The sequence below is a fragment of the Homo sapiens genome, chromosome 3, assembly GCF_000001405.40.
Source record: "Homo sapiens chromosome 3, GRCh38.p14 Primary Assembly".
Taxonomy (NCBI): Eukaryota; Metazoa; Chordata; class Mammalia; order Primates; family Hominidae; genus Homo; species Homo sapiens.
Window position 1 is genome coordinate 29,488,632 of NC_000003.12, and position 27,945 is coordinate 29,516,576.

At 35.8% G+C, this 27,945-nt stretch overlaps 1 protein-coding gene across 12 annotated transcripts in view, besides 2 other annotated features; it reads left to right on the forward strand.

The window, feature by feature from the left end:
- The window catches only part of RBMS3 (RNA binding motif single stranded interacting protein 3), a 729,325-nt gene that overhangs the window by 207,561 nt on the left and 493,819 nt on the right, over positions 1-27,945 (forward strand). The gene's annotated exons all lie outside the window — the stretch shown is intronic.
- Positions 3,760-3,929: an enhancer, noted in NCBI's record as "experimental_69111 CRE fragment used in MPRA reporter constructs". NCBI's record gives its function as "activates a minimal promoter by MPRAs in K562 erythroleukemia cells, with activity observed for the introgressed 3:29533967 variant allele {active_cell/tissue: K562}" and the evidence as "EXISTENCE:reporter gene assay evidence [ECO:0000049][PMID:34662402]".
- Positions 26,655-27,272: an enhancer, noted in NCBI's record as "NANOG hESC enhancer chr3:29556777-29557394 (GRCh37/hg19 assembly coordinates)". NCBI's record gives its function as "activates a minimal SCP1, AML or CMV promoter by ChIP-STARR-seq in primed H9 embryonic stem cells {active_cell/tissue: H9 hESC(primed)}" and the evidence as "EXISTENCE:reporter gene assay evidence [ECO:0000049][PMID:30033119]".

Here is a 27,945-nt window from a genome sequence, read left to right on the forward strand (position 1 = left end):
CAATGTTTTGATAAGTTGTATTTCTAGTAACATTGCTCATTCATTTTTTTCATTAACAAACAAAATGAAAATCACAAATCAGAACAAGTATCAAATTGCTTCAGCATAAAACTAAATTACCTCCTAACAACTTTGGGGTGTCTGATGTGAATGATATCATCAGTGATGCAAATTGATTTCCTATATAAAAATGAGGAACTCTGGGGAAAACTTCCCCATGCAAAACACATTTTAATTTCTCTGTTCTTTAAAGCTTTAGCAACATTGGTTGACTATGAATAAATTTACTGATGGGCCTATTGTATTAAGCTTCAGCTATAAGCATCTCAGGGATTTCAGAGTTGGTATCTTATTAAGACAGGCTTTTGGTTTTCCTGGAAATACTTCTGAAGTCATTGGACTATATCTGTGGCTCATGTTTCTTCATGTCTGGGAGTCCTATATTCTTTTAAAATTTGCATTAGATTAATTGTGGAACCTGTATGGTCTCTCTTGCATGACTCAGTTCTTACTGGAAAATTGGAATGCTTCTTGTAACATGCTGTTTGTTGTTCCTTTAATCTAATCTTTGTTGTAACACTGAAATCAAGAAGTATAGCACAGCCACGTTCATTCTAAACACTGCCTCTATTTCATATACAAACATAATGTGCACAAGTTTTAGGAAAGAACACTCAGAAACTCCTGTATATGTATCTCCTCACCTACTTGCATAATGGTAGTCAGATTCAATTCAGCAATTAAAAAAATAAAAACATTCCACGTCTTCTATAAACTCAGAAATGAACTACATATTACAAGACAAAGAATAATATGACATGATTTCTTCCACCTCATAGATTCAAGTCCTAGTTAAAAAGACACCAAGAAAACCAAGAAACTAATTCTAATATCCTTATTAGGATTACTATATCACCTTAATATATGTGAGGGTGTAACAGCGGTATCTAAAACAGAATTATCGACAAACCACTGTTAGAGGAGAACATAGAGATTTCTTTTTGGGAAATGAAGTTTATAAAGTCAAGGTAGAATGGGTGAGCTTGGGACAGGTGGATGTTCAGGAGAGAGAATTTCAGAATGTAATTGAGTAGACCCACGTAGCTGTAAAAAAAAAAAAAAAAAAAGTACTGCTGGGCGCGGTGGCTCACGCCTATAATCCCAGCACTTTGGGAGGCTGAGGAGGGTGGATCATGAGGTCAGGACTTTGAGACCAGCCTGGCCAACATGGTGAAACCCTGTCTCTACTAAAAATACAAAGATTAGCTGGGCACGGTTGTAGGCACCTGTAATCCCAGCTACTTGGGAGGCTGTGGCAGGAGAATCGTTTGAACCCAGGAGGCAGAGGTTGCAGTGAGCCGAGATTGCGTCATTGCACTCCAGCCTGGGCTACAGGGCAAGACTCCCTCTCAAAAAAAAAAAAAAAAAAAAAAAGTACCAGTGAGGACAGAAACAAGAAAGGGGTTAAAATTGTGTAGGTTTTTAAATGATATCCTGGATATTTTAAATTTAAAATTTAATTTAAAATTAAATTTAATTTAAAATTAAAATTTAAAATTTTGAGCAGACAAAATATGATTCTGCAGGTGTTTCGTAATGTTATTTCAGCAAAGGTGTGTGAAATTGAAATATAAAGGGAGGGAGTGGAAACAAAAAAAAATGTAGGCTTTAAAGCCATAGTACAATAGAGAAATTAGAAAAAAATCAGCTTAACTATTACTATTAGGGTAATAGGAAGGGGTTCACCATGAAAGTTTTTAAAGGTAGAGTTGGCTATTGACTCTAACAGTGAAAGAGAGGAATGTATGAAACAAACCCTACATACATGTTGAGTCTTCTGATTGGGAAAGATGCCTGTGCCTCTTGGTGAGGTAAGAAGTCCAGAAGTAGTAGTAGTAGGTTTTGGGGAGAAGGTGTTGGACATGCTGAGTTAGAGTCTCTGGCATGGCAACCATGTGGAAGATGTCAAAGAGGAAATTGTAAGAAAGCCCAGGGCTACAGATGCTGACTGAAGTCAAAGGAATAGATAAGATTACCAAAGAATAATGTGTAGAAGGGGAAATGGAGTGGAGTGAATTAGGGTGGGCAGTTGAGAACTTGGAGAACATTTGAGAAGAAAGCTGGGCCATGGCCAAGGGATGTTCTGTCACTCTTGGCCTGTGGGAAGCATGTGGCATGTTAGAAGCATTAGAATGCGAATTATAGTGCATCTAGACCTGCCCAACCCATATACAAAGTCTTGGGTCAGACAGTTAATAATATTAATCAAGCACCAATCAGAAGCACAAATACTGCACAGGTAAGCAACACCTGGAAACCTCAATAGATAGACTCATAACCGGAGCGGTCAATATGAAGGGATACTTCCTTATGCAGAGTTTTGCTCAAGCATGCTGATATCTGTTGTCACAGTACAACTCTGAAGACCACGAAAATGTAAATTGCCAACATGCAAAAACTGTACCCTTCTATAACTGTGAAGGTTTGAAGAAAAAGGGATGTAACTAAAAATGGGCGGTCAGGGTCTCCATAAGCAAATTATATAGTGGGAGCGTGGGTGCTTATCAGGACAAATTATACTATGGGTATCCTTATCCTTACATCAGCTCCTAAAATCCCTATCCACGCTATTTTGCAACAGCTTATTTAATTTTCTGTTTCTGTAGAGAGATTCCTAAAATCAGTGGAAACAGGGCCTGTGTGCTATAGAAAACTTACCTCCAAAGTGGGATGTGTGAAGGGTGATACAAGACTGTTTATTGGAGAGGCTAAAAGAAAATATTAGAATTTACATCTCTCTTTGTTTTTTATATCAACTTTTTGTGAACATTACATATTAATATAATCTTACAAATACATAGATTTTAAATAAATATGAAAATGTTGAGTTTGCTGCTTCAAAATACTTTTATCTCTAGTGATATGAATACTGGTCTCACCAATAAATATGGAAGAAGAAAAGGAGTAAGAGAAGGAGGTAAAAAAGGAAGGAAGAGAGGGAAGGAGGAAAGACGGGGCTGTGGAACAGCCTAGGAAAATCACTTAAAGAAAGGCATCTGTAAGAAATTGGACAGCGGTTAGGCCGGGCGCAGTGGCTCATGCCTGTAATCCCAGCACTTTGGGAGGCCAAGATGGGCGGATCACAAGGTCAGGAGATCGAGACCATCCTGGCTAAAACCGTGAAACCCTGTCTCTACTAAAACTATAAAAAATTAGCCGGGCGTGGTGGCGGGTGCCTGTAGTCCCAGCTACTTGGGAGGCTGAGGCAGGAGAATGGCGTGAACCCAGGAGGCGGAGCTTGCAGTGAGCTGAGATCGTGCCACTGCACTCCAGCCTGGGTGACAGAGCAAGGCTCAGTCTCGAAAAAAAAAAAAGAAATTGGACACCATTTAGACCGTTTGCCCTGAGGGTAATACGAAGAAGGCAAAGTGATCGTGTGTCCATTATATGCTTATAAAAGCCTCCCATTGCCTTGCTTATCCTCAGCATGTAGAGTCTCTGCTTAGCAGTGGTGAGTGAATCACAACCTTCATCAAGCACATCATGGGGGAGGTGCCCTGTAAGTCAGCAAATCATGATCAAAAATATACTACTATCCCTTTCATGTTTTTAGAAAAATACTATTTTAATGATATGCCGATGTATATTAGAGTATTTTCCTTTCAAAAAATAGACCTTGACATAGATATGAGAAGATATGATTAGAAAGACAGCAATTATAGAAAATTGTGTATAATTGTTCATGATGACCAAGGGAATAATAGGAGAAAGATATGAGGTCATGGAAAGGTTCAAGGAACTGATAAGAACGAGTATTGAAACAATCGTCTAAATGTTTATTGGAATTGCCAAGAAATGAAACAGGAGTTGTATTAGAAAAAGTGACTAATCCAGAAAGTATCTGCGGAGAAATAATGGGATGGGAAATGATACTAGGGATCTGTAGACCATGATGAAAATGAAGACTAGTTGGTTATAAAATTTGATGATGTGAGATTCTAAATGGGAGATTTTAGGTAGGGGAGAAACCATACTGAGAAAGGAGGAAAGTGGACTACCACTTACAGGTCCAGTGGGAGGAAGGATATGGGAGAAAAAAAAAGAAACAAAACTCAAACTTGAGAGGGCTACAAAGGAAGTAGTGTCCTCAGGGTAAGTTAGGTAGTGATGGGAAACATGCAAATTAAAGCAATATGCAGTGATAGTTTATAACCCCTGAAGTAGCAAACATTATAACATGTAGGCCATTCATGCTGTTCACTCTGAAACTGGTTCATCCATTCTTCATTGGTACCATGCTAAATCGGTACAGCTTTTTTAAAGTCAGTATGGAAACAGCAATAAAGAGCATACAGTTGAAACTAGTTAGTCTGTTGAGAATATTTATTCAAATATGTTATCTAAACATATGTTTTAAATTATGTATCTACGTACAACTTTGAGCACTCTCGTTTTCCTTACTAGGAAAAAATATAGGAAGCATCCAAATTCTAGCTTATGGAGCATATACAACTGTTATGTAGCTGTTAAAATGGTAGTCATAAAGACTAGATTATGCCAAGCCTAGAAAAATGTTTATTATATGAAGTTAAATCAATATAAAGGGATATAAAATAATGTGTACACTGAACATGGAGCTATGTAAATATTTGAGAGTCAGGATCAGTGTGGTTATGACTGTGGTAGATCCAGGCTGCCTGGGTTGAACGCTGCCTCTTCGCTTAGTAGCTGTGTGACCTGTGGTAAATTAGTCAACTGCACTGTGCCTTCTGCAAGGTAAGAACATCAGCAAAGTAATAACAGAGCCTCACTCACAGTGTGTTGTGATGATTAACAAAGTTAATACATGGAAAATGTTTGACGATATCTCCTGTTACTTTTGTATAAAATACTGGCAATATCAAGCAAGACAAAAATGTTTGTTTTAACATGGTGGGCTTATGGGTGATATATTATTATTATTATTATCTTAACATTTCTCCAAATCTGTTCTGTTTTTTTGGGCAAGAAAAAAATACAGCTCTTGGAAAAATTAAGCTGGTTTTAATTATGTTTATATTTTGATTGTTCTTTCTATGGAACCTGAGTAACTCATGACTGTATGGTTCTTCGTTTTTGTAAAATAATTCCAGATGAAAATAGTGAAGAATTAGGAGAGAATAACATGTTTTGCTTTTTAAAATAATAGGCAGAGATTGAGTACTTCTTGACCATTGCTTTATTTAGGAAAGAAATTACAGGATGTGTGAGGTGCCTTTTTCAAACAAAATCATTAAGAGCATCAAGACTGTCGTCATTAGAGGACACAAATTGGATTTGGTCTTCTCTGTGACACTTGGTTTTGAATCCTTTGCAACTTTATCTCCAGGCAAAGGCTATACAATTAAATCTAAACATTATGAACTGAAGGATTTGTTTATTTTTATTTTTAAAGACATGATAGTAATTCAATTCTTCATTAGCTGTTACACGTACAGCATATTGTGTGTAAGTTAGTCTTTACCAAGGTATGAGAAAGTCCATGAACTTGTCTCCTTAGAGATAAAAAGAAAAGGTATAAAAATTAACCTAATGCATTAAACCAACAGAATTGAATCCTATTTTAGCATTTAAAAGAAAAGCTTTTATGCTCTCCTGAATCCCACCCACACCCTGTAAGTTAGGGACAGTAGTCAGGCCTAGGTAAGCTTACTCACTTTTTTATTCCGGAAGGGGTTATCAGGAACTTTCAACATAACCTCTCGTTTTCAAGATTATTCTTTCTTGGGTGGTGGCTGCATCAGCTTTCATTCCGTATAATATGACAACATACAACAAAGCAGTCACCATCAAGCCAAAATGACCAGAAATTGCTGAACAAAGCGAGTAACAGCTCCAGATGGGGAGTAATGAAAAACAGACCACAGTTCTCATTCAGATATTCAAACACAAGGACTAAATAAGAGCTATTGTACAAGACACAGAGATTTGCACTGCATTTTTTGCTTGTTTGGCTTTTGTTTTCCCCCATGTGTTTTCCTTCTGGATCAGTGTATTTGCTAAATTAAAAAGTCAGGGAAAATTAAATGAAAGCTATTGGAAACAAGGTGTAAATCTTAAAAGAATTCACTTGTCTATGCCTTCCTGCTTTTGAAGGTTGGTTTCCCTTTTCTCCCTGCACCCACCAGCCTTACCACCATCATATTTCCGACAGGCTATATGTTTAGAGTAGAGGGAATGAGTAATGGATATTCCGTAGAAAGTTTCCATGCCTATTAACCATAGGATATAAGAGTAGATAGAGTGTGCCAAACATACCAGCTCACTTCTGAGGGTTTGAAATACTCTCTTTTGCCTTTGTTGTCACAGGCTGGTTAAATTATATTTATGGAGCTTATGTTACCTTTGACATAACATTGAGCCCTTAAAATCAAAATTGGAGACAAGTATCCAAAAGTTCTGAAATCATCCATGAAGGATATTCATTCATTCATTCATTATTAAATAAAATCATAAATTGTTATTTCTTCTATAAGAGAAATAATTCTGCATATGACACTTATTTTATAGAGAGGATTTAGAGCCCATCTAGATTGTCTCAGAGAGTGGTGTGACTTTGTTACTGGACTGAATCCATTTAGCAGTTCTAAACTCACAATCATGTTATACATTTTGAAAGTATTTCTAGGTGAATAAATATTAGGCCATACACTTGGATGACTTTGGAATTCATCAATTTTATTTTACTTTTCTTGTTTATGCACTGATGGAATATTTATACATGTGAGGGAAATACATATTTCTTTCTTTTTTTTTTTTTTTTTTTTTGAGACATAGTCTTCTTCTGTCACCCAGGCTGGAGTGCAGTGGTGCGATCTTGGCTCACTGTAACCTCCACCTCCAGCAATTATTCTCCTGCCTCAGCCTCCCGAGTAGCTGGGATTACAGGTGCGCGCCACCATGCCCCATTAATTTTTTTTTGTATTTTTATTAGAGACAAGGTTTCACCATGTGGGCCAGGCTGGTTGAACTCCTGACCTCAAGTGATCCACTTGCCTCGGCCTCCCAAAATGCTGGGATTACAGGTGTGAGCCACTGCGCCCGGTCAGAAATACAGATTTCTGTGTTGAACCCCCTGAATCTGGAAGGAGGGCAGGATATTATATTTTGTTATATGTTTAGGTAGAGTAATTACAGGACATGAGGTATCCTTTACCTATGGATTAGTTTTAACAAGTGACACTGACATGCATTTGTGGTGAAATGTTTAAGTGGAACTATTTAACTCTGGCGGATAACAGACATTTCCAGGGCTGGTCCACATGGAAATCAAGCAAGTAAAGGAAGAAACCAACACCATGGAAAGCCTCTTTTCTAGTACCTTTATTTCTTGAAAGCAGTGGAAACTAAAATAAATGTTCTGTGAAATTTATGAGTGTGAGGAATTACATTTTGAGAAGAATAATCACCTCCACCAGGTGGGCTCACAGTCTATTGAGCAAGAAGCTCATGAGAAGCAAAATGGCTTGAAAAACACATTTATTCAATTTTCATATAATGGGATTAGGTATACCCCGCCCACATCAAAAAAAAAAAAAAAAAAGAAAAAAAGAAAAGACAAAAAAAAGTTATATTTTAAATTATATTTCTCTTTGGAATATGAAGTGTGTAATATTTCCCTAGCCTTTTTTTGTGAATTTTACTCTAATCTACTCTAGTATTAAGTTTACCACCAGTCATAGGTCATCAATATATAAACTTGAAGGTTTGCTTTATTTGATTTTGATATTGGCTTTTGTTTTCATTTCAGAAAAGGTTAGCATATGCAGGAACTTTGGAACCTTCATTAGTGCATCAAGTTTACTCAGAATTGTCCTGTAGGTACATTTTACGTAGAATTTTTATCCTGTGACTCTTTTAAGAAAATACCAATTTTTCTTGTCTTACAGCCAAGTTCGGAAAGAATATCCACTTTGATGGTAAATGGTCTTTATTTGTTGTCTACAACCCAACCAGACAACTACAACTAAAGGCAATACTTCTGCCAAAAATTAGCTTTCCAAACTTATTATTTCCAATATCAGGATATTAATTATGTTATGATTATTTAGTGTTAACTTTGAGAAGTCCTTGATATAAATGTAAAACAAAATAGGTATTTATGTTTTGGAAGTCATACAGCTACACGTTTTTCAGCAGGTTTTATAGCTATATATTTACTCAGCATTTGCTTGTAATCACTTAATATACATATTAGACAAAAGTAAAATTATCCACTAACATGAAATATAACATCAGCATTGCTGTTTTAAGCATCAACTTGTGTTCAATAGCCTTTAGTATTGTAACCTACTTCCCTAATGCTTTTGTACATGCAGAACGTGCAGAAATGATTTTATTGGGAAAACTTTTTTTTTTTTCTTGTTTTTTGAGACAGAGTCTCACTCTGTCACCCAGGCTAGAGTCTCGGCTCACTGCAACCTCCGCCTCCCGGGTTCAAGTGATTCTCCTGCCTTAGCCTCTCAGGTAGCTGGGACTACAGGCGCATTCTACCATGCCTGGCTAATTTTTTGTATTTTTAGTAGAGACGGGGTTTCACTGTATTAGCCAGGATGGTGTTGATGTCCTGACATCATGATCCGCCCGCCTCAACCTCCCAAATTGCTGGGATTACAGGCATGAGCCACTGCGCCTAGCCTGGGAAAACATTTTTAAAATAATTGTTGAGGAATATAAAACAGCTTAAAAATAAAATGATAGAGTTACATTACTTTCACCCGTAAACCGAATGTTACTTTTACTAATCCATGTTATCTGACTAAACAGAAACTGTCGTCCAGGTATTCTGTTTGCTTCCTTGCTCCTGTCTTTCACTTCCCTATTTTAAGAATTTGACTCATGTCGATAAACATAAAATGCTCTCTCTTCCTACCTCTAGTAGTCTATGTAAATTATTGCTTCCAAAAGTCACCTTCTCAAAAAGTCCTCCAAGACTCTACTCATCCTATCTAAACACCTTTACAAAACCACTTCCTTTGGGCACCATCTGTGTGCAAAGATCTAAGGATACCCCATCTCTCATCTCTCATGCTTTTATGATTAGTTTGTGTCCTTCCTCTAGATTATAAACTCCCTGGGACCCAGGTAGTTAGGATTATTGCCGAAGTATTGAGGATGCAGGACAGTTCTGAGTAGTCACTTAGATCCCAGTGCTTTACCTCTGTCTCTGAGACCCTTTGATGTTATATCAATGGAAAGCACAAGCTTGGCCAGGTATGTGTTCCATAGGCCTGTACAGACAGGAAGAGTACCAAAGACATACAGATGCATATGTTTCTCAGAGTTATTCTCTAAAAGTATTCATTTTTTTTTTTTTTTTTTTTTTTTTTTTTTTTTTTTTGGGAGACAGAGTCTTGCTCTGTTGCCCAGGCTGGAGTGCAGTGGTGCGATCTCAGTTCACCGCAACCTCCGCCTCCCGGGTTCAAACGATTCTCCTGCCTCAGCCTCCCAAGTAGCTGGGATTACAGTCATGCACCACCATGCCCAGCTCATTTTTGTATTTTTAGTAGAGACAGGGTTTCACCATGTTAACCTGGCTGGTCTCGAACTCCTGACCTCAGGTGATCCACCTGCCTCGGCCTCCCAAAGTGCTGGGATTACAGGCGTGAACCACTGAGGCCGGCCAAAAGTATTCATTCTTAATTCAGAGTACTTATTTTGTTAATGTGGAGTTATTCTTTTTAATGGTTTAAAGCTATTTTTGTTCATTAATGATTTTATTAATACATGGCAAATTGTATATACTAATGTATATTTAAAATGATATACAAAATATAATAATGTATAATGCACAAATATGATATATGTGTGTATTCAGTTCACTAAAATTTATGTAAACTTGTAATACTATGTAAATAACCTTTTAAATATAAAAAAGACACAGTTCTTCAAAAATTTTCTAATTGAAGTCTATACCAAGAAATTCTCTAAGTTATGATCTTAGTTTCCTTGGACAAGGCACATAACATCTCTGAACATCTGTTTTTCAACTGTCAAGTGAGGTTATCTACACCTGCAATACAAAGGTATTTTCAGAACTACATGGAACCATGTTTGTTATATGCCGGGCACATACATCAGGCAAATGTTTCTATGGCCTTGGACTTGGATACCTTCTAGGAACCAACTTGTTTAGAGCTTGTATGTAACTTACATAATTTAATGCCATTCTGAGTACATTTTAACTGTAAGAAATGTGTGTTTTATGAATTGACTTGTGTTTATTGAGATTAGCTTCGTTAATAGCAAAAAGTATAAGTACTTAAAGGATGTCTTAAAGGTATGAAAGATACCTTTTGGTGTTGGCTATATGATAGCTTCAAGATTTTTTAGGGCCTATAAACCTGGTGTGTTTGAGATAAAGCAAATTCCATCGCAGTGACAGGTGATGGAATTCATTCTAGTTGAGTTGTATAGGTTCTGGGAAAAAAATTTTCTTTGTTCACTCCTTTGTTATGCTATTCACTCTGTAATATTGTTTTACAAGTTTAAAGGAAAAAAATGCCTAAAGATTCTTGACTCCTTAGTTTTTTAAACTATGGTAAAAGCATCTAACATTTAAGGCATGGTCAATCATCATTTGCTTTGGTGCTAGCCATTGTTCTTATTATTAGTTAATCATATTGATTCTAAATAGCTATTCTTTTTCCTTCCCTTTAGTAAAGAAAAGAGAACTCTGGGGTATGAAAGAGAAAAACTCATGTACATAGCTGAAAAACAAAACAAAACAAAACAAGCTACAAAAACCTAAATAGAGTTTGAAAGGTGAATGTACCACTTGATATGCTTCTTCAAAGGACTATAAGTGAGCTCAGATGCCTGCTTATCTATAAAATATTGGCAATATAAGTACTTTAATATGATCATTTTAGAAACAGGTATAATTTTCTCCTTGAGTTGTGGAATAAGAGAAAATTACAAAGTTTTCATTTAATTTCTACTTCTCTTAAGAAAAGGGCAGTTTATTTTCACTGCTAGGCATACAGATAGACCTATTGGTCATTCAGCGGACACCAGCCCTGAATTAGCAGAAACCTGTATCATAAAGCATATTTGGAACACTTTTTCTATGCCACTTTTAAAAACACAATTTCTTTCGATAAACAATAGGAAGCTTAAGCTGCAGATATCACAGCTGTTCATATTCTCAGATCTCGTCCACAATTCAAACAGCAGCAGCTGAAACAAACGATTTTAGGGAAGCAACTGTCAAAAAACACACTGGGCCTTGGGCTTAAGGGTAGTGTGAAAAATAACCATATTTGAGATATACTGAATGAAATCATGTGGTGAAATTCCACGGGAAATATAAAGCACATTGGAATTTATGTCTTTGGGACACATGCTGCAATAGATAAACCAAAAACTGTAGCTTTTAATCAATGAGAAGGATTTTCTTTTTTTTTTTTTGTAAAAAAGAAGAATTACATAAGGTAGAATTTGTAGGCTCATTAAAAAAAATAGTATTAAGACACTGTGGCATAAAATTTTCTCAATCTTCCCATACATTCTTTTGAATGACGAGGGGTTCAAAGTGAGAAAATTCCTAATTTCACATCTAAGATATAAGGAAATTATTGGTAATACTATTTCTTTTTATAGGGAAGCAGATGATAAAATTGAGAATATGACAAGAGGACAACTTAACAAGTCAAAGATTCCCGTATAGAAAATAGAAATTTTCTCAGTCTATCTCAATTTCTGGCTATTGTTTTGAACCAAATAAGAATAACTCCAAGTGAAATATAAATATATATATATAATTTTATTATATATACATATATTTACATATTTATTCTACATATATAGTCATGTATTACATAATGATGTTTTGGTCATCGACAAAACTCATATATGACAGTTGTCCCATAGGATTATACCATGTTTTTACTGTACCTTTTCTATGTTTAGATATACAAATACTTATGATTGTGTTACCATTGCCTACAGTATTCAGTATTGCAATATGCGGTACAGGTTTGTAGCCTAGGAGTAATATGCTATACCATACAGCCTAGGTGTATAGTAGGCTATACCATCTACATTTGTGTAAGTAAACTGTGGTGTTTGCACAATAATGAAATCACCTAAGGACACATTTCTCAGAATGTATTCCCATTGTTAAGTGATGCATGACTGTATATAATTACATGTGTATGTCAGTACATCTGTGTGTGTGTGTGTGTGTGTGTGTATCACAGGGACAAAACATTTATGAGGTATTTTTATTCAAAGAGAGTTTAAAAATTGTTATATAAAGATTTACCTAAAAGTTTATATTTTAGTTTAATAAAATGTAAAAAGGAATCTTGAAATGAAATCCCCATAGTTCTTTGTAATTAAGCATCTGCTATGTTACATAAACCGAAAAGTCCTGGGGAAGTTGTTCTGCCTTAGGGAGTTGTCAGGTTCTTTGTGGTTGTCTGCTGTTGTGAGAAGTAATTTAAGATAAGTAAGAACAAGTTAACACTGCATATACAATTATCTAATAAAAGCTTGTTCAAGCATTGATATCATGTGTATATGTTTAAAATCTCCATGAAAGTTTAACACGTCCACTTTGTATTTGCCACATATTATGTCTTATTAATATGGACTATTAGTACAACTAAGTACATTCCTTTATGGTGTCCAGGTCAGTCTATATTTCCACTCTGTGCGTCTTTCAAAAGTTACTAGTTTAGAGCCAACCCTTTGTCTCTGTTTACTGTTGCAGACATTTTAAAAAATTCATATAAAATATATCTTTCCAGATAAGATGGTTCCAGTTTACAAGTGATCTTCTGTAGACAATAGAAAGCCAGTATCACACGTAAATTTGTGAAAACATCCGACGCTGTTGCAAGCCCGAGGTTAATTTATCCGTTTTAGGAGGAAGACTTACGGTGCTTCTGTTAACCGCAGCCATTTGTTGCATCAAGGGTCAGCCCTATCTGCATTAGCATTTACCAACATCTCTATCTTTTGTTTCCTGTCTGAGTTTACTTAAATATGGAAGGTAAACTCTTCAACCTATCTCCCATCAGCCTATCAACCAACCAATCAGTGGACCAAATAAAACAGACTAAAGAACCAATACCCAAACTCAAAACATAAACATAAAAATACTCAAAAAAGAGGGGAAAGTCAATCCTAAGGGGAGGGATCATGAATGGTGTCTTTGGCTTGCTTGCCCAGGAGAGACGCCCTACTTAACAGTGAGCAGAAAATGAGTAAACGAAGAGCTGTGTAGTCCTCAGAAAAATGGTTCGCGGTAGTTATGGTGTCAGAGATATATTTATACTAACATACTCTGCAGCTCAGCCCCATGAGCATACTGAGTCTAGAAGTCTCTTAGAACATTCCTGTAATTCATCAGAAGGGCAAATTTGTCTAGGGAAGGAATTTTGTTTGGCTACAATACTGTTAAAAGTATTTAAATTAGAATGCCTTTTAGCGGGACCTAAACTATCCTTTATTTTCTTAAAACCAGCCCGCTTCACTCATTTGTATACCTGCTTGGCCATTGAAGACATGTGCATCTTCAACTTTCAATAGCCTATACCATTGTTGAATGGACATCAAGTAACTAACAAAATTATTATTATTCGCATTTTACTCATGAGGAAACAAACCAGGAGATGCTGTGAAATGTGTCAAACATCAAATGGTCATCCAAACCTAAGTCTGTCTAACTCCCAAAGCATAGGTCTCTCCACTGTTTCACTCTTTCTCCCATAAAATAATCCCAATAAGTAAGACTAGAAGTAAATGATCCTGGATGTTTTTAATGACAATTAGACACAAGCACAATGTTTTGAGTTCGCATAAAGGCAGACAATTTGATAGAAACATGTAGTAGTTCTTATTCTCCCACTTCCATCCCACTATAAACAGTATCGATTAGGGGTTCTAGTTCTGTTTGTCACTGAATATAGATATAAAAACATGGAGCTGGCACTATGAAAGCACATGTTCCTTTTGAAAATATTTTGATCATTTTGTTCCATTTAAAATCATTTTCCTTTTTTATATTTTGAGAATGGTTTTCTGCTAACTTCAATTTTGCACTTATGTTGGCAAATGTCTAGCTTTCTATCTAGGTTAACTTTAAAGTGAGCTGCAGTTAAATAAATTTTAAGTGGGAAAATAGCCTCAGAATTATTGTGGTAGAAAGACAAGGTGCAGCTGATACTTTCTCTTACTCTCAGGACTCAGAATGAGCCATGTGCTTCTTTAAAGGGCCTATGTGGTCGTTTCAGAGCAAATGCTCTCTTTCATCTTATTTAAGTTCTGTTTGGCTTGCCTCCCATATTTGCTCAGTGGGGATAAGGTTAAGACCTCTGAGGAGGCCACTCTATCCCAATTACTTACCCAGTCTCTTTTCTTTTCTTCAAATAGCTTGCGTGTAGTTGTGGAGAATGTTTGGGGGTCATTATCTTCTTGATGGATGAATCCAGAGATAAACAAACATTTTCTATTTGAATTCTAAAGGTATGATAAAGTTTAATCCAAAGACTTTTATGTTTTGAATTCATCCAGGCACCAATTCTTGCAGCAAAACATCCAAACGCCTGCTAAGGCCAATTATTTCTTTTGAAATCTGGTTTTTCTCAGAAAGTTCTTCCCCCATCCACGTAGTTTCCTATTGTCTCAAGTTGCCCTCCAGCCTCTAATTCTTACCGAGATTTACCTTGTCATTCATTCCCTTCTGTCCTTTACGGAAATGTTAAGCATCTGTGCTCAGTTTTTTTCAACAGCTATATTCAAGCACATGCTTTATTTCCTCGTACTCACTCTAGATTCCCCTGTCCAAGTTTGAGTCTGAATTTTTACAGTGTTTAGATTCTAACTACATTTCTTTCTTGCCTAGTTCCTGAGTGGTCTTTCTCTGGCCTGACATTCTACTTCCAGGCACCAATCCTAATATAACTGGATCCTGCTTTGGGAACTGTAAGGAGGATTGTTTTACTTCTCCAACACCATTGTCTGTGTTAATTTTGCTGATAGGATTTTTATAGGAAGCAGCATAACAGCAAGGCAGTCATTTCATATTTGTAACCAAAATCAAGTAATTCTCAGGTAGACCACAGATGTATTTTTTCCTGCTTCTTTGAAGCTGAAGATCGTTTGCAATAGGTGCCTATAAAGTACCTCTGCAGTGGAAAAAATAACATCCTATGTGGCATGGCATCCCTGTTCCTCCATGGAAACCACAGTTAGTTTTGACATTGCCAGAATTTTTGAATTTTGGGGAGAAGCTATGGGGAAAAAATGTAAAGGCTTTCTCATCTGGATTTAACTCGAGTTAAAGCATTACCTGAAGCTCTGTGCGGCCTTGTTTGGGCTTTGTTCTCTAAACAGTTTGTAGATGATTGTGTTCAGAATTCCCAGCCCACATTAGCTAACTGCACACATGTGGAAACACAGAGAGGCTATGACCTTTAGATCCACTCCAGAAATACAAACTTGGTCTCTAAGTTTAGAGAGGAAATTCTTCCCTCTCACTAGCCAGGATCTGGGACTGATGTTTTGCCCAGGTCACACATATGTCTGAGCCGTGCCAGTTAGTAGGGGAAAAAAATGACCTCTTGGGTAATTTGTACGTCATGAAGACTTGGCTCTGTCTTGGTCCAGGGAGCAGCAGCTCATTTAAAGTGCACAGGACCTTATGAGTTTTAGGGGGCCACAAAACATGAACCCAAATAAAGTGGAAATTTGTGATGATTGGTCTATGAGAAGGCAACCATAAAAATAATTTAAGAGGCAGTGAGCAGGCCTCTTGCCTTTTTTTCTGTCTGATTTATTTATTTATAAAATTTTAATTGGAAAATTAAAAATTAAAAAAGGTTCTGAAGGTAGATTCCATTTCTTGGCTATTGTGAATAATTACTACTATGAACAAGCAAGTGCAGATATCTCTTTGGCATACTGATTCTATTCCCTTCAGATGTGTACCCAGTAGTGGGATTGCTGGATGATATGGTAGTTCTATTTTTAATTTTTTGAGAAACCTCTATACTGTTTTCTCTAATGGCTATACTAATTTACATTCCCACCAAGAATGTGCAAGGATTCCCTTTTCTCCACATCCTCATCAACATTTATCTTTCATCTTTTTCCTAATAGCCATTCTAACAGGTGTGAGTTGATAGCTCATTGTGGATTTAATTTGTGTTTCTCTGATGACTAGTCATGGTGAGCATGTTTTCATATACCTGTCGGCTCTTTGTATGTCTTCTTTTGAGAAATATCTATTCAGGTCCTTTGCCTATTTTTAAAATTAGGATATTGAATTGATATATGTTAACCCCTTATTAGATCTATGGTTTGCAAATACTTCCTCCCGTATCAGACATATGTTATGTCTTCACCATGTTGATTGTTTCCTTGGCTGTGTTTTTCAGTTTGATGTAGTCCCATTCATCCATTTTCACTTTTGTTTCCTGTGCTTTTAGTGTCATGTCCAATAAATAAGTGACCAGACCAATGTCACAGAGCTTTTCGGCTGTGTTTTCTTCTAGTAGTTTTATAGTTTCAGGTCTTATATTTACATTTTTAATCCCTTTTGAGTTGATTTTTGTATGTAGTATGAAATAAAGGTCTAATTTCATTCTTCTGCTTGTGGACATCTAGCTGTCCCAACAATATTTATTGAATAGACTGTCCTTTTGCTCTTGTGTATTCTCAGTACCTTTGTCAAAACTCAATTGACTGTAATCACATGGATTTGTTTCTGGGATCTCTATTCTGTTCCACTGATCTATGTAATAGTTTTTATGCCAGTACCATACTCTGTTTATTATTGTAGCTTTGTAGTGTATTTTGAAGTCATGTAGTGTGATGCCTTCAATTTTGTTTTTTTTTTTTGTTGTTTGTTTGTTTGTTTTTACTCAAGATAGCTTTGGCTGTTTGAGGAATACTGTGGTTCCATATGAATTTTAGGACTTTTTTTTATTTCTGTGAAAAATGTTATTGGAATTTTTATATCAATCACATTTAATCTGTAGATTGCTTTGGGTAGTATGGGCATCTTAATAGTATTCTTCTAATCAATGAACGTGAGACATGTTTCCATTTATTTGTGTATTCTTCAATTTCTTTTATCAATTTTGGATCTTTTTTTAATGTACAGGCCTTTCATCTCCTTGGTTAAATTTAATTTTAAGTATTTGATATTTTTGTAGTGATGGTAAATGGGATTTTAAAAATTGCATTTTTGGCTATTCATTGTTAAGTGTACTTAACATATATTACTATATTGTATGTTGATTTTTTATCCAGCAATTTTACTGAATTTGTTTATTAGTTCCAATAGTTTTTTGGTGGAATTTTTTAGGCTACATTATAGATAAAATCATGTTACTTACAAACAAGGATAATTTAACTTCTTCCTTTCCATTTTGAATGCCCTTTATTTCTTTTTCTTGCTTAATTGTTCTCGCTAGGGGACGTCCAGTAATATGTTCAATAGAAGTGGTAAGAGTGGGAATCCTTGTCTTGTTCCTAATCTCAGAAAAGAAAAATTTCAACTTTCCCTCATTGAATGAGATATTAGCTATGGTCCATCATATATGTCCTTTCAGGTATTGAGATACATTCCTTCTATACCTAATTTGTTGAGATTTTTTATCATGAAAGGGGATTGGATTTTGTAAAATAATTTTTCTGCAACTATTGAGATTATCATATGGTTTTTGTCCTTCATTCTGTTAAGGTGATTTATCATATTTATAGATTTATGTATGTTGAACCACCTTTACATCACTGGAATAAATTGCACTTGATCATGGTGAATGCTTCTTTTAATGTGATGTTAAATTTGACTTGCTAGTATTTTGTTGAGGTTATTTACATCTATGTTCATCAGGGATATTCGCCTGTAATATTCTTCTCTTGCAGTGTTCTTGTCAGGCTTTGATGACAGGAAAATGCTGGCCCTATAAAATGTATTTAAAAGTATTCCCTCTGCTGCAATTTTTTGGAAGTCTTGTTTGAAAAGTATTAGTATCGGTTCTTCTTTAAATGTTTGTTAACAGTGAAATCATCAGGTCCCGGACTTTTCTTTCATGGGAAAAATGTTATTACTGTTTCAATCTCCTTGTTATTGGTCTGTTCAGATTTTCCATTACTTCATGGTTTAGTCTTGGTTTTTATGTTTTAGTTTTATGTGTCTAAGAATGTATCCATTTTTTCTAAGTTATCCAATTTGTTGGTATATAATTGTTCATAGAAGTCTCCTATGATCCTTTGTATTTTTGGTATCAGCTATAATATCTCCTCTTTCATTTCTGATATTATTTGAGTCTTCTTTCTTTTTGTTCTTTGTTGGTCTAGCTAAAGGTTTGTCAATTTTGTTTGTTTAAAAAAAAAAAACTCTTGGTTTTGTTGACCTTTTCTATTGTTTTTCTAGTTCTGCTTCACTTATTTCTGCTCTGATCTTTGTTTTTTTTTATTCTGCTAACTTTGGCCTTAATTTCTCTTTCTTTTTCTGATTCCTTGAAGTTTAACATTAGGATATCTCTTTACTATCAGCTGTATTTAAAAAAAAATGAGGTTCTTTTATGACCTCATTTCAAGAGTCAATAAACTTTCCATACTCTTTAGGTACATACACTAGATTATGTAATTTTTTTCTACAGAAATAATGTTTTAGGAATAGAAAAATTATACACATGAATGCAACCTTTGCTTTGTATTCCTGAAAACTTGGAAATAACCTAATATGCACAAATAGAAATGGCTAAACTCTGGTTAAAACTATAGAGTATTTTATAATTATGTAAAGGAAAAATTGTTAAGACTCTGAGGCAGCATGGAAACCTAGCTATAGTATGATATTAATTGCGAAAAAAAAAGACAAATCTATGTATGCTCTGCTAATAACTAGGTCAAAATGTGAAGTATGATGGCTTCTGACAATGTTTTTACTTGATATGTGTAATTATCAGTTGACATGTCTCTCTCCTCTGCACTGTGACTTCTTTGATGGGGAGAGCATATTTTTCCATATGTGCAAAAACAAGACCTAGCACATAATATGAGCTAATAAATATTTCTGAATTAACCCTTGAAAAGGTAGCAAAAAAATAAAATTATATAATTGTATCCATGATCTGACCACAATTCTCTAAACATAATGCATTTAGAAGGCAAAGGTCTAAAGGAATTGTATAGAAGTGATTACAAGGGTTCTTGTGTGGTGAGGTATTGATTTTTCAATGTTCATTATATGTTTAAAAAATTCTCCTATCTATAATAGAAAACAACAATAATGACTAAAGTAGTATTAGCACAATTTAGCAATACTGAGATGCAAGAAAAACTCATTTTTTCAATAATGAGAAAATATGAAGATTCATATTGTCATTAAAATTCAATTATATATGTGAAATTTTGAATCTCTGTTATTTGGAATGAGATGTCAAGAAAGAGAAACTTCTAACTACTAATCATAATATAAGGCCTCTCGTCATCTGGCTTGTTCTCTCCTCTCTAACACCAGAAATAGTGTACATTTGTATAATATAATCTATTTTTTCCCCATATCTCCTTCTTTTTTAATTATTATACTTTAAGTTCTGGGGTACATGTGCAGAATGCACAGGTTTGTTACATAGGTATACATGTGCCATGGTGGTTTGCTGCACCCACGAACCCATCATCTACATTAGGTATTTCTCCTAATGCTATACCTCCCCTATCCCTCCACTTGCCAACAGGCCCCAGTGTGTGATATTCCCCTCCCTGTGTCCATGCGTTCTCATTGTTCAGCTCCCACTTATGAGTGAGGACATGCAGTGTTTGGTTTTCTGTTCTTGTGTTAGTTTGCTGAGAATAATGGTTTCCAGCTTCATCCATGTCCCTGCAAAGGACATGAACTCATTCCTTTTGTGGCTGCTTAGTATTCCATGGTGTATATATGCCAAATTTTCTTTATCCAGTCTATCATTGATGGGCATTTGGGCTGGTTTCAAGTCTTTGCTACTGTGAATAGTGCTGCAGTAAACATACGTGCGCTTTTTTTTTATAGTAGAATGATTTTTAATCCTTTCGGTATATACCCAGTTACGGGATTACTGGGTCAAATGGTATTTCTGGTTCTAGATCCTTGAGAAATCACCACACTGTCTTCCACAATTGTTGAACTAATTTACACTCCCACCAACAGTGTAAAACCGTTCCTATTTCTCCACATCCTCTCCAGCATCTGTTGTTTCCTGACTTTTTAATGATCGCCATTCTAACTGGCGCGAGATGGTATCTCATGGTGGTTTTGATTTGCATTTCTCTAATGACCAGTGATGATGAGCTTTTCTTCATGTGTTTGTTGGCTGCATAAATGTCTTCTTTTAAGAAGTGTCTGTTCATATCCTTTGCCCACTTTTGATGGGGTTGGTTTTTTTTTTTGTAAGTTTGTTTAAGTTCTTTGTAGATTCTAGATATTAGCCTTTTGTCAGGTGGGTAGATTGCAAAATATAACTCTTGAGTGTAGGGAGTATTCACATTCTACTCCATGTGAATAGCATCTCTAGAATTATACAATGAGCAACCTATGTGGCCATAGTGATGGCTCTGGTCAATTCTTATCTCTTACCACATATCCAACCAACCATACCTAATTATTTACATGCCACATGGAAAAATACTTTGGTGCCTGTTCTCTTTGCCTGTAACGTAACAAGCACCCCACATTTACTAATAATGACTAATATATAGTGAGCATTTTCTATGTACATAAATTATTCTAAGAGTTTTACATATATGATAGCAGTTTTTTCAAATTGATATAATTATTGTCTTCATTTTCTAGGTGAAAGAGACAAGGAACTTGCCTAAGTTGCCATAACATGAAATAGCAGATTTGGGATATAAATTCAGGTCTGCTTTGTTTTAAAGCCTGGGTATTTAATGTCTCACATGTCATCCCTCTTTTATGCTGCCTGTGTGCTCTTCCTTGACTTGCGAGACTCAGCTGATAAATTCCTCAAAGCTTTCCCTGTGCCTTCCACGCTAGCCCAAGCTGCCTTTGGTATCCTTCCTCTATATCCCTTAATACAAGTCTGTTCTCCCAAAAGTATACCCAGAATTTAGCAAGCTGTGTATAATCAGTGATTTTTCTTTATTCATGTTTCACTTAAACTATGGGCTTATCAAGAGTGAGAATTGTACACCTATTCAGAACAACAACAAAGGACTGTATCGTATTCATTTCTTGTTCACTCATGCTTAGCACATGCTTTGCACGTGAAGTAGTTGTCCAATGCATGTCTAAAAGAATAAAATGATGAATGGCTTAACCACATCTCAGATTCTCAATTCATGGTTATAGCACAAAAAAATGATCATGCATGTGATTTTGGCTGTGATTAGAAACTGGGATAAAATTGCAGCCATTTATCACAGAGATGGAATAAGCACAATTTCTTATTAAGTACCTGTGGACTCCATACTTTTGCAGATACACTGCTTCTTTAAACAATGCTTTAATCACAACATTTGGCTGCTTCAAACCTGTATGTGACTTGTTATTTCATTCTTTATCAAGTCTGAATTTCTCAGTATAGATTTAAAGAGCACTGATATCATAGATCAACCCATAGTGATTTTCACCTTGTTCTAATATGTATCTTTGACACCAAGAAGACCAGTCACTTTACTCTCCCAACGCGCTATACTTATACCACCATTCAGTCTTTACTCAGCTCATACTCCAGCTCATTATTCTTCTTCCATTCTAAACCTGACTTAGATTATTAGGCAAACTTAAATTCTACTTACTTTATAGAGGGTTCCCTGCCTAGGTTAGCTCTTGGTAAAGTCCCTTTTCTATTGCCTATGTCAAATAATGTACCATATGATACAGGTTGAGTATCCCTTTTCTGAAATGCTTGAGACCAGAAGTATTTCAGATTTCAGATTTTTTTTTCAAATCATGGAATATTTGCATTCTAATTGAGCATCTCAAATCCAAAAACTCAAAACCCAAAATGCTCCAATAAGCATTTTCTTGGAGCATGAATTTTGAGCATCATATAAGCAACTCAAAACATTTCAAATTTTAGAGCTTTTGGATTTCAGATTTTTGGATTAGGGATGCTCAATTTGTAATATTGTTGACTATTTGCAGCATTGCTTTAGTTATGTTAGCATTGTTTATTTTTTCCTATAAAGATATGAGCAGATGCTATGCATTTCTCTTGTTTAAAATTACAAGTTATTGTGTGCCCACTCTGTGCTAAAATCTATTCTGCATGTTTTACAAATATTTTATTATGAAAAGATTTGAGTTTCCTTTTGGTTAGTGATAAAGGAGAAAATCTTTCAACAGATGCCATGAGAACTGATTAAAATAAAAAGTTAATTTTGGCCGGGCGTGGTGGCTCACGCCTGTAATCCCAACACTTTGGGAGGCCAAGGTGGGTGGATCACTAGGTGAGGAGATCAAGACCTATTGGCTAACATGGTGAAACTCTGCCTCTACTAAAAATACAAAAAATTAGTGGGACATGGCGGCATGCACCTGTAATCCCAGCTACTTGGGAGGCTGAGGCGGGAGAATCACTTGAACCCAGGAGCAGAGGTTACAGTGAGCTGAGATCGCACCACTGCACTCCAGCCTGGGCGACGGAGAGAGACTTCATCTCAAATAAAATAAAATAAATAAAAAAGGTTATTTTAAACCAAATTTCTAAAAATAAGTGTGATTCTCAAATTTAACAGTGATCCTAATAAGGTATATGAACAGGCGATAGCATAAAACTAGTTCTGTGCGTGGGTGTTTTGTGTCACTTTAATATTCAGTATATAACATGTGGAGAACTAGTTTTACTTTTCCATGGTATTTGTTGGTGCCTCTGTGAGTCACGATGTTGGGTCTACTGATTCTAACTCATGTCAAAAGACCTCAACTTTATATTTAGCCCAACACTGCCAATGTCTGCTGTTGGAAATAAAGGGGAGCCAGGCAAAAGAGTTTGAATCAGCACAAATAATTAAAATTATGGACCCTACTCATAGGACCATCATACATAAAGAATAACACCCCTTTTGCCTTTATTTGGAGAATATTACTCAACCACTTCACCATTTATAAGAATAATAACAAAAATGGGATTTTCACATTATGACTTTAAAGTTGAAGGATCCAATTGTGTCTTGGGAAAAAAATGAAAGCATATGTATCACAAGACTAACTGAAAACAGAAATTTCATTTCTGTTCATATTCAGAGCCACTTTGTTAACACTGTGCTCCTGGGTTTGGAATTCCCTGGAGAGAAGAAGTTAGAAAGTAAAAGGCAAGCGTTCCCAGTAACATTTGGTTTAAATTTGCATGCAATTAAAATCTTATGTTATGGTACTAATATTTTTTCCCTTTTCTGGTTTCAGAAACACTAGGTGTTTCTGACACATTTAGTAAAAGCCTCCTTTTCCTTATCATTTCTGACTCTTTATTCAGATTTACTAAAAATAAGAGTCAAGAGAAAGAAAAAATGGGAAAGTCTGCACAATGAAAAGGTGGTCTTCCTTATTTTTCATCAGTTAGTCAGGATTATTTACCAAGCAGAGGACTGCTCTGTCATTTTTATACTAATTTAATTCTAAATAAATATATCAAAGATTTCTAAATGTTGGATTTAGGCATTTGAAAAAGGTTTTAAAAACAGTAATTTATCATTTAGCTGCAGCATGTGATAAGTGCAATGAACAAATTTTGATTCATCTGACATTAGTTAGAATTAAATTATTATCTAGAGATTATAAATGTTGCATTAATCCTTCTTTAATTTAATAATTAAGATTTATAAGTATTCACAAATATATCTGGAATAAGTAATTTAAAAAGTCTTAAAACTTTAAGATTTGATATCAGGATATAAACATAATTCTATTTATTTATATTTTCCATTTGATATTTGATCCATCCTACTTTATGACTTTCTTTTCATCAAGAAACTGACCCAAAGACTTGAGGATTACTACTAAGGACTTTTCAGGGAAAATAAAAACGAAATAACCCACACCAAACAAAAAGCGGCGGTGGTACAGCCATAATACTTCCTGTTCCTTGTAGATCAATCTGGGACAAAGGCTGTCTAATATTTCAAATTCTGTGGCATGTGAACAATACTGTGTGCACTGGGCTTCCAACCTTGGCATTTAGAATGCATATATATGAGCAGAGGAAAATTCCAACAATCTATCCTTTCTTTATAATCTTGCAGCAGTTCCAAAAGTCCTTAGCTGAAGGATATATTTGGAAAGCGCTGCTTGTCTGCTCTCACCACATTCAGGTAACCATTCCAGAGTTCTTAGGTTCCACTTGAGAGGTAACTTGCTATTACCATTTGTGCTATGTGTCATAAAAGGGCCCTATTATTTTCAGCAAGACCCCTCAGCAGCAGTTCCAAAGGAGCAGCTAGAGATTTGATTATATAGGTCTCTCTCCTGAACACATCCTTTCGCATTTGACATTTACACTGGTGGCGGATTTTTATGTAACTTGTTAGAGAGCAGTCTGAACCTTAGAAAGGTGTTAGTCTTCCTAGAACCCTCTGGCAAAGGAAAATCTTTTATTGGACTTAAATGTTTTGAGTTGAAAACTGTACTTGTTTGATTGGAAAACCTTTCAGGGAACAGATTTCGTTATTTTTCTAAGCTAGGCTGCAGGAATTGAGCCGAAGATATCACTAACCAAAGACCTGAGAACCAAAGGAAATGACTCCAGTGTTTAAAATCCTTTTATTTCCTCTGTGAACGATATCTCTGCAACTGAGATGAACCATTCCAACTGGCCCCCACCCAGACTTTATGGGAACTGAGATTAGGAAGTTGTATGGTCACAATAGTCACTGTACAAATTGCTTTCAGTTTAAAAACCTCAAAGTTCTTGACAAAGCCATAATTTCTTGCCACATTTTATTTTTTCACATGGGTGACTGATCTGTCATTCATTAATTACCCTGCCAGGATTCTTCAGTTCTTTTAGAATGATCTATATATATAATAATTTCATTTGGGAGGAGGACACAGAGTTTGTGAGAAGTATGCAGGGTGCCTGTAAAATTTGTCTTTGCGAGACACCACATATTTTGCCCATTTCTGTTGCCTTCTATTTGAAAAAAAATATTGTTGGGCCACAGTCAAGCTTATAAAAATGTGTTCTTTTCCTTTCCTAATTTCATTCTATACTTTCCTTCTTGCCTAGCTTTTCCATAGCTGAGATGAATAAAATGTTGGATGTGGTCTCAAAATTCAACACTCCTGACTTCCTTTGACACAATCATGCCCTGGGGAAATAGAATCATATTCATAACTCTCTAAAGCATTCTCTGCCCTTGCTTTCTCTACCCAGGCTGGAGAATCTTATTAATCTTTCTATTCCTTGTGCCTAACACAGTGCCTGGCATGTTTGAAGGCACTGATTTATATTTAAACGTGAAGTAGCCTAGAATAGGAAGCATATAATAGATTGGTAAAACATAGAGTATGTAAGGAAGGGATTATTACACACTTTAAAAAATCAGGGACTGTTGTCTGAATTAAACATTGTTAAGGATGTAGCAATGACACAATTCTCCATTCTTCTAAAATTTTTAGTACTTCCCTATATTCGTCTCTGGGGAATTTATGTGGCAGAATGCTCTCTCACCATGTTTGGCAACCTAAAGCTACTCAGACTTCCTTAGAGGTAGTCGCTCCTCTATCTCAAAAGCTTTCTTGACAAGAATGATTTGGGTTGGATGGGGATTGGTAGTAGTTTTCTCATTTAACATCTGCAACACATATTAAAATGAACTTTAGTAACCTGACATTTAGCACTGAATGGGATTTACACATACGAGTTGCTCAATCTAATGTGATTTGATCCAACATTTGTCAAACATGTACTTTTGGAAAAACACTGTGATTGACACTGAGGATAAGAAAAAGGAAGCGATTTATCCCCAAATGCTCAAGGGGAGGAGAGATAGGTGCATATATATATGTGTGATAGGCACATATATATATATATATATATATATATATATGATAGGCATACATATATATGATAGGCATATATATGTGTATATGATAAGCATATATATATGATAGGCATATATATATAAGCATATATACGATAGGCATATATATATATGATAGGCATATATATGTATATATGATAGGCATATATATAATAATATGAGGATAATAGCTAAAAATAATACCTAACTGTCAGTGAGTACTTTATGCATGTCAGATTTTCTTCTAATAACTCCAGATGTCTTATTTAATCCTACAGAGGCCCTTCGAGGTAGATGTCAACGTTACCAGCATTTCACAGATGAGGGTAATGAGCCACTATGTTCAAGATCAATCAGCTTCCAAAGTCACAGAGCCTGATAGAGTCCAGGAAGTTCCCAAATATATGCTCTTAAGTACTATGCAGTAGTGCTGTAAATAACATGCTCTTAGAAAGAATGAGGAAGTGGTCAAATCGACCTTAAGTTTGGAAAAGGCTTAGGTGAAAGCTGCAGGAGGAAGGTAGTATTTGAGCTTTGCTCTCCAAAATGAATGTAAGTTTATCTAGCAGGGATAGCAGGAAAAGATTTACCTGGAAAAGGAAAGAGCATGGAAATGGCAGAAAGTTGTTGAAGTGCATGACATTTTCTGATGTCTTCAAAGTGCAGTGCTTGCATAAGGAAACAGTAAGTGATATAATCTGAATGCAAGCTCGTCTTATGGTGAAGGGTCTTGCATCAAGGCTAGGGTAAAGAGCTTGTTATAAAGGCAATGGAAACCAAGGAGAGGTTTATAGGCAGAAGAAATAATATGGCCAGAGTAATATTTTGGAAAGTCGATTCTGGCAAAGAATTTGGAATGACAAAGAAGGAAGAAAGCTAGATGCAGGAAGACAGGCTGGAAGGATGTATCCTTTCTCTTGCATTCATGTGCTAATAATAGAAAGAATGACTAAACACTGACTTAAACTGTTTTTCACACCGCATAAGAAGGAGACTGAAGGTAAGCAATCCAGAGCAGTAGGGTGACTCCATCTAGACACTCAGCACTTGGTGTGTACCTTTCACTTCCTGCCTTTGCCTTGTGGTTGCAGAGAGCTAGTCCACTTTAGCATTACATTTGCAGTACATGCAGGAAGACCAGGAAGGCTAAAGGGCAAAAGACAAGTGCCAGCTGAGTGTGTCCTTGTTCAAAAGCTTTGTGCTTTTATAATTGGCCCCAAACTGTAACATGGTCGTGGGTTCTTAATACCCAAATGATGTTGGAAATAGTAGTTTTTATACCTAGGCACATGCCAAAACAGAATGCCGGTAGGGAAGAGAATTCCGTCAAAATTGATATTGGAATTGTTTATGTGAGAGTTGAAGAGGACATGGACCAGGGACTTTAAGGGTACAAAAGATAAAGTGGGGACAGGATTTAGGAATGAGAATCAGGAAGACATGGGGACCAATAAGATGAGGCAGGCTGGGAAGGGGATTGATCAAGGAAGATACTGTTGTTTCTGACTTTGGCAACTGCATCTGTGATGATCGTTTTAGCCGAGGTGTGGAGAATCAAGTAAGATCAGTTTTTACCAATAAAATAATACATGTGATTCAAGATATATTGAGTTTGATGTATTTCTAGGACATCCGATGAAAAATTTGGTAAGTTGATATAAACAGGCCTAGAGGTCAGGAGATGACGATCTGAGTGTCAGAATAATCTAAACCACAGAAGTTGATGAAATCACTAAGAAAACACATAGAGTGGCATAAAGCCTGAAGACTATGGAGAGGAAGTTTTTTTTTGTTTGTTTTTGTTTTTTGGTTTTGTTTTGTTTTTTGAGACAGAGTCTCACTCTGTTGCCCAGGCTGGAGTGCAGTGGTACAATGATGGCTTACTGTAGCCAAGACATCCCACTTTAGCCTCCTGAATAGCAG